This window comes from Homo sapiens, chromosome 12 (assembly GCF_000001405.40).
Source record: "Homo sapiens chromosome 12, GRCh38.p14 Primary Assembly".
Classification (NCBI taxonomy): Eukaryota; Metazoa; Chordata; class Mammalia; order Primates; family Hominidae; genus Homo; species Homo sapiens.
This window is the reverse complement of record NC_000012.12, coordinates 70,504,501-70,511,432: the sequence shown is the minus strand read 5'-3', so window position 1 is coordinate 70,511,432 and position 6,932 is coordinate 70,504,501. Positions and strand designations below refer to the sequence as shown.

Genomic DNA, 6,932 nt, shown 5'->3' with positions numbered 1-6,932 from the left:
CAGCAATCTGTGTTTTATTAACAAGTCCTCCAAGGTGATTCTGATGCATGATATTCAGTATTGAGTTTGGGCAACCTCCCTGCTTTGTAGATTCTCATCTGTCAAATTTAACTCTTTGAACATGCCCTGTTTGACAAAAAGGAATAGAAACATGTAATATTTTTGAGCCCTAGCACATAATAAGCACTTAATAATCATTAGCAACTAGTATTACTACATGTCAGGTTTTATTCTGAACTGCTTTAGCTGCATTATCTCATTTAATTCTTTTAAAACTAAATAAGGTGGAGATTATCATTCCCATTGTAGGAGTGAAAAGAGCTGCTTCTTTGTCCTCTGAAGATGTGCTGAAAATCAACTGACAAAAGGCAAATTAATAGGAGAAAAGGCATACAAATTATTAACATGCTTGAGGGAAAATCACAGTGATTGCTCTATAACCCAGTATGGTATAGAAGCTTATATATCCTTTTTCATAGAAGAGAAGATAGGGAATGTAGACAATTCTTTTGAGGCGCAATAAACCATTAGGGAGAATGAATGGACCTGGGAAGTTGAAGTAGACATTACAGGGGCAGAGCTGCACAGAAACAAAGATTGTCTTTTTTTTTTTTTTTTTTTTTTTGAAACAGAGTCTCGCTCTGTCACCCAGGCTGGAGCGCAGTGGTGCGATCTCGGCTCACTGCAACCTCCACCTCCCGGGTTCAAGCAATTCTCCTGCCTCAGCCTCCCGAGTAGCTGAGATTACAGGCGTGCACCACCATGCCTGGCAATTTTTGTATTTTTAGTAGAGACAGGGTTTCACAAAGTTGGCCAGGTTGGTCTCAAACTCCTGATCTCAGGTGATCCACTCACCTGGGCCTCCGAAAGTGCTAGGATTACAGGCGTGAGCCATTGCGCCCGGAAAAAAGGTTGACTTATTATGCAGATGAAATCCCTCAGTTAATCTCTTGGAGCAGCACTCTGTCTAGATGTGGTGATGACTCCTAGTATCTTTTCTCCAGTGGTTGATCTCTGGAGAGATCCTTAGGGAGGGGGATTAAGACCACAGAATTTCTTTTAGAAAGCTTTCTTCATCAGATAAGGAAATCCAAAGAGTCCCTCCCTGAGCTTAGGGTTGTAAGGGAAGGGGAGAAACACGGTTAAACCTTGATTCTGAAGCAGCTTCTAAGAACTCTCAGCACCAGCCTTTGAGGTATCATTCTCCGAGCCAACATAATCCTATAAATGAAGAAACAGAGGCATACAGAAAGTAAGTAATTTTGCCCTAGGACATGTCAACCTAAAGAAAAAACAGACAAAATTAACATAAGGAGAGAGTTTATTTGGGCCAAGTTTGAAGACTGAAACCCAGAAGCATGGACTCAAGTTGCCCTAAATATATGTCCCGACTTTACAGCAGTTACAAGTGGGCTTTTAAAGGAAAAAAGAACAGGCATGCAGAAGACATAGCCAAGGAAAAAGAAAGAAAGAAAAAAGAAATAAGAAGAGGCACTTCCTTGGTTGTTTACCAAGAAATGACAATAACATAAACTATTGATTTGCTATACATTGTTCTTTGTATCAAAAATCCCAGGAACATGAAGATAATGGGTGAGGCAGCTAGTCAGAAAACCACAGGTAAGAAAAGAAAGAATAATATGCCTTTGAGCAATTGCATTTAGGCATGGAATGGGTGCATGACTGAAGTCTCATACTCATGTCTCCCTGGGCCTGACACATTTTGCAAAGTTCACATAGTTCAGACTTATCTGAGCTATTTTTTATTCTCACTTCCCCCTTTTGATTAAAATTTTTCTCTTCTAAAAGCACTGAAGATTAACATTTTAGATATAAGTCTGACAAACTTTACTAGGAAAGTTCATTTCCAGGTAATCTCATTCCACAGAGAGAGAAAAAGGAGAGACACTATGGCTTATCATCTTCATGAGGTCTCAAGGTCAAACTGATTGGCAACTCCAAGGAACACAGCAATGTTCTTTATTTTGTTTTTATTTTTTATTTTTTAGACGGAGTCTCGCTCTGTCACCCAGGCTAGAGTGCAGTGGCGCAATCTTGGCTCACTGCAAGCTCCCCCTCCCGGGTTCACGCCATTCTCCTGCCTCAGCCTCCCGAGTAGCTGGGACTACAGGCACCAGCCACCACGCCCGGCTAATTTTTTGTATTTTTTTAGTAGAGACGGGGTTTCACCGTGTTAGCCAGGATGGTCTCGATCTCCTGACCTCGTGATCCACCCACCTCGGCCTCCCAAAGTGCTGAGACTACAGGCGTGAGCCACCACGCCTGGCACAGCAATGTTCTTAACCAGGCCATCTGCTTACAAAGGAGCTGCAGCATGTTGGATCAGTTCTAAGGATCTTGCTATCATGATTAGTTTTTTTGTTGTTGACTTTAAACATCTAGAAATACAAAGCATGATCAATTTCAGAATCAAAAGTATGATGCAAATAGGACAATTATTAACAAAACAACTGAAATGCAGATCCAAAAAGGGTTCCTATTACTGAAGGGAACCAAATAAATATTTCATTTATTTCCTATCCTGATATGAAGAGCAAGGTATTGAAAACCTTCGGTAATGAAGATGTTCACTCAAGTGGGGCTGCTGGATATGGTTCATTTATTTTATGGATTTTTCCAATAAATAAAATCTCCAGATTGGATACCATATTTGATGTTGTTATCACCTAATTGGATTCCTGCTAACTGCACAGAAGAAGCCAAAACACTAAGCCAGCAAGTGTTGCGGCAGAGAAAGAATTTAATTATTATAAGGCAACTGAGTGAGACAGACACTCAAGGAGATGCTTCTCAAATCCACCTCCCCAAGAATTCAAAAGCTAGGATTTTTAAGGATGGTTTGGCAGGCAGGGAGTGCTAGGGAATGTGTGCTACTGAGTAGTTGGAGATGAAATCATAGAGTATCAAAACTAACTTCACGCACTGAGTCAGTTCTTAGGTTGAGGTCATAGGTCACTTGTCTGGTTGGTGTCAGCTGGTCCATTTGGATGCAAAGTATGAAAAAATATCTCAGAGACCAGTCTTAGGTTTCATAATAGTGCTTGTGAATGCTGTTACTATAGAAAAGCAAGCTAGGGAACAATGGCAGGTTATTGTTTAACTATGCCTAGAGCTTAGCAGAAAGGTTTGCAGGAAGTGAGATCCCCAGTGGTCAAAGCTTCTTGGCCCCTTCACCAGTTCAACTTCTGGAAGCCATCAAGGAGACCTACATGACCTAAAGATAATTGTTCTTTAAGAGAAAAACAAGTTCATTAATCTTGTGGGCAGCATGCCTGATGGGGCAGGAATAGGAAGATAATTAATTACTAGTAACTATAATTTATTAAAATGACTATATATAAGGAATTAGACATGGAGGAAGAAAAGGTCAAAGAAAGGAAAATAAGTATAAGAAACATCTAATGATTTACCTATGTCTCTGTCTTAACAAAATCCAGGCCAATACCATAATTCTAATCTTGAACCTTTTATTAATTTTATGATGGCAGTTTCAATGTCTTCATCTCCTGGGAACTTTCTGTCAAAAGAATCCATAATTAATTTAGAATTTTTAGAGAGACACTTATAAGGCCTTGGCAATAATGAAGAATACCATAGGAGAGCTGGTTCATAGACTCCTTCAGCTAGGTGCATGGGGCATCTGTTACCATTTCAAAGGGAGAAAGCTGTTGTTTTCCAAATGGGGTAGAATGTAAGTTAAGCAAATAAAAGAGCCGTAGGCCTCAATAGTCTAAATGTTTCTGTAAGCCTTACCGATTGTTGTTTTTATTATTCCATTTCCTCCTTCCACCAGTCTGGAAGACTGAGGGTAGTATGCACAATGGAAATGCTGATTCATCCAATCTCAATCAGCTTTGGCCACACAAGATAAGATATCTGTAAGCCTTTTACAATCTCCTACAATTTTTCCCATTCTCTTTCTTTCACCAACTTTCTATATTCATCCAGTTTTAGCTATTATTTTTTAAAATCCCTTCAACTTAACCTTTAAAAACTTCAGGACAAAATTACTTTTCCTTTAACAAAAACCACTCTCTCATGCCTTCTTTATAACATTCTTTATCAAAAATGGATCCTACTTTTCCTTATACACTCTGTATACAGAATTGTTTCTCTTCTATCTAGTAGTTTAACTACAATTTTAACTCTTAATAGCCTTAATTTCTAGTGAAGAACCTAGACATAATTTTCAACTGTTTTATATCAGCATTTGTAAATAAAAATCACTTCATAATTTTTAGAAAGATGTTTGATTATTTATTAACAGATCTAAATATATTTAGCTTTCCTACACTATATAAAAATAAGATGCTGAAGTATGTAAACAAACCTATATTTAACAATTAATATTCCAGTATTTTAACTTACCTAGAAATGACTCAGACATTTTATGATTATTTGTTAACTTAATTTAACACGACTGTAAGATTAGGTTACTGAAAATATTTTTGAAACAATAAAAAGTTCATTTATTCCATTTACATTTATCTAATGCATTCATTTTTAACAATTATGCTTGAACTGTCTATTAAACAAAGGTAGCCATCATCTCAAGTTATTTCTTTCTTAATAATTTTGACAACTTGAAAATGTTAGGCAGTAACCACTTAAGCAAAAACCCTAAAGTTAAATACGTGGGTATTTTGTTGATCAGAAGACAAAACTATTTTCATTAACAATATTAAACTACTCTTATTTGCCAAAGATATACCCAAGTCATGTGAACTAAAAGGCATTTGAGTTACTTTCTATTTTCCTGATAAAATATTTGATGTAAGTTGTTAGTTGTTGTTCTTCTTCTTTTTCTTCTCCTTCCTCCTCTTCCTTCATTCTTCCTCCTCCTCCCTTTTTTTTTTTTTTTTTTTTTTTGAGACAGAGTCTCACTCTGTCACCCAGGGGCACTATCTCAACGAACTGCAAGCTCTGCCTCCAGGGTTCACGCCATTCTCCTGCCTCAGCCTCCTGAGTAGCTGGGACTACAGTCGCCCACCACCACGCCTGTCTAATTTTTTGCGTTTTTAGTGGAGATGGGTTTCACCGTGTTAGCCAGGATGGTCTCGATCTCCTGATCTCATGATCTGCCTGCCTCAGCCTCCCAAAGTGCTGGGATTACAGGCGTGAGCCACTGCGCCTGGCCCTTCTTCTTTTTGAGACAGGGTCTCGCTCTGTCACCCAGGCTGGAGTGCAGTGGAGCAAACATAGCTTACTGCAGCCTTGACCTCCCTAGCTCAAGTGATCCTCCCACCTCAGTTTCCCATGTAGCTGGGACCGCAGGCATGCACTGCCATGCCAGGCTAATTTTTTTATTTTTTGTAGAGATGGGGTCCCACCTTGTTGCCCAGGCAGGTCCTGAACTCCTGATCTCAAGCAACTTTCCCACATTGGCCTTCTAAAGTGCTGGGATTACAGGCATGAGTCACTGTGCCCAGCCAACAGTACTACTTTTTCTTTATGCAATTAATTAGAGCTTTTTAAATATATATTTTGGCAGTTAAATATCACATACATATAAGATACATAAACACATAAACATACAGACATACAGATAGAAGCAGATCATCTAGCTTTTTTTTTTTTTTTTTTTTTTTGAGATAGTCTTGCTCTATCACCCAAGCTGGAGTGCAGTGGTGCAATCTCAGCTCACTGCAACTTCCACCTCCAGGCTCCTGGTTGAAGCGATTCTCATGCCTCAGCCTCTTGACTAGCTGGGATTACAGGCATGCACTACCATGCCCAGCTAATTTTTTTATTTTTAGTAGAGGCGGGGTTTCGCCATATTGGGCAGTCTGGTCTCGAACTCCTGGCCTCAAGTGATCTGCCCACCTCAGCCTCCCAAAGTACTGGGATTACAGGTGTAAGCCACTGTCCCTGACCCATATAGCTTTTATAAGATTCTTCATTTGCCAGTTTTCATATAGTTTCTCTCTTGTCTTTAGACTATCAATCTCTTGGTTACCTGTTCCATTGCCCTAAATAACTGTTAGCTAGGCAACTGTAAATGTGTACCTCCAAGGATGCGACTCTTAAGTGACAGGCAGAAAATTTACATCTCAAAGGCACAGAACTTAGATCTAAATATCATTTTTGCTGACATAATGAAGGACATAGGTAAAAGCTCAGTTAAGACAAGATTACCAGGAAAAGTATCTCAAACAAAAGTAAGGTTTCTTATGTAAACTTCAAGCCACTGTCTTTCTCATTAAAAACCACTAAATGGGGGGTTGGGGCCAAGATGGCTGACTAGAAGCAGCAGCAATTGGAGGCTGTCATTGAAACGAATGATTATAACTAATGAATCCTGTACCAGCAACCAAGGTATCCAGGTTCTCTCATCAGAACTCACTAAGTGGCTGGCATGATCCATGGAGAGAAAGGAAGAGCGGTGTGGTGCTGCAGCCCACCTGAGGGCCACATGGGGCAGGGGAGCCCCCACCCACCAACCAAGGGAGGCAGTGAGTTGAGCGTGCTACCTAGCCAGGGAAACTGTGCTTTTTCCACAGAACTGTGCAACCCGTGGTCAGAAAATCCCACTCATGAACCCACGCCACCAAGGCCTAGGGTCCAAACCCCAGAGCTGCGCAGATTCTCAACAGCCTCTCAGATAGAATCTGCTTAAGCCTGCTGAGTTCCCCGTGGGAGAGGAAACCAGTACCACAGCTGCAGCTGCCTGCTGTCTAAGCCATTTGAGCTCCTTGCGTGAGGGTCAGCAGCCAGCGCTAACTGCCTAAAACGCTAAGCTCCTGGGCAGGGGAAGGACGGCAGCCATCTCTATAGCTGCAGGCCGTGCTTTTCCACTGCCAGAGCAAGGGAGACTGAACGGCTTGGTCCCAAGGTTTCCCCCACAGCCCAAAACACCAGCTGTGGCAGACTGTGGCCAGAGCCCCTCTTTAGGCCTGACCCTGACCCATCCT

The 6,932-nt window shown here is 40.7% G+C and overlaps 1 long non-coding RNA gene across 2 annotated transcripts in view; it reads right to left on the bottom strand.

The window, feature by feature from the left end:
* PTPRB-AS1 (PTPRB antisense RNA 1) overlaps positions 1–6,932 on the bottom strand; it is a 103,372-nt gene that overhangs the window by 60,018 nt on the left and 36,422 nt on the right. For both annotated transcript variants that reach the window (XR_001749196.2, XR_007063360.1), the window contains exons 2-3: positions 3,432–3,538; positions 1,149–1,221 (exon numbers count right to left, since the gene is read on the bottom strand). This is a non-coding gene — a long non-coding RNA (PTPRB antisense RNA 1). The remainder of the gene's footprint in view (positions 1–1,148; positions 1,222–3,431; positions 3,539–6,932) is intronic.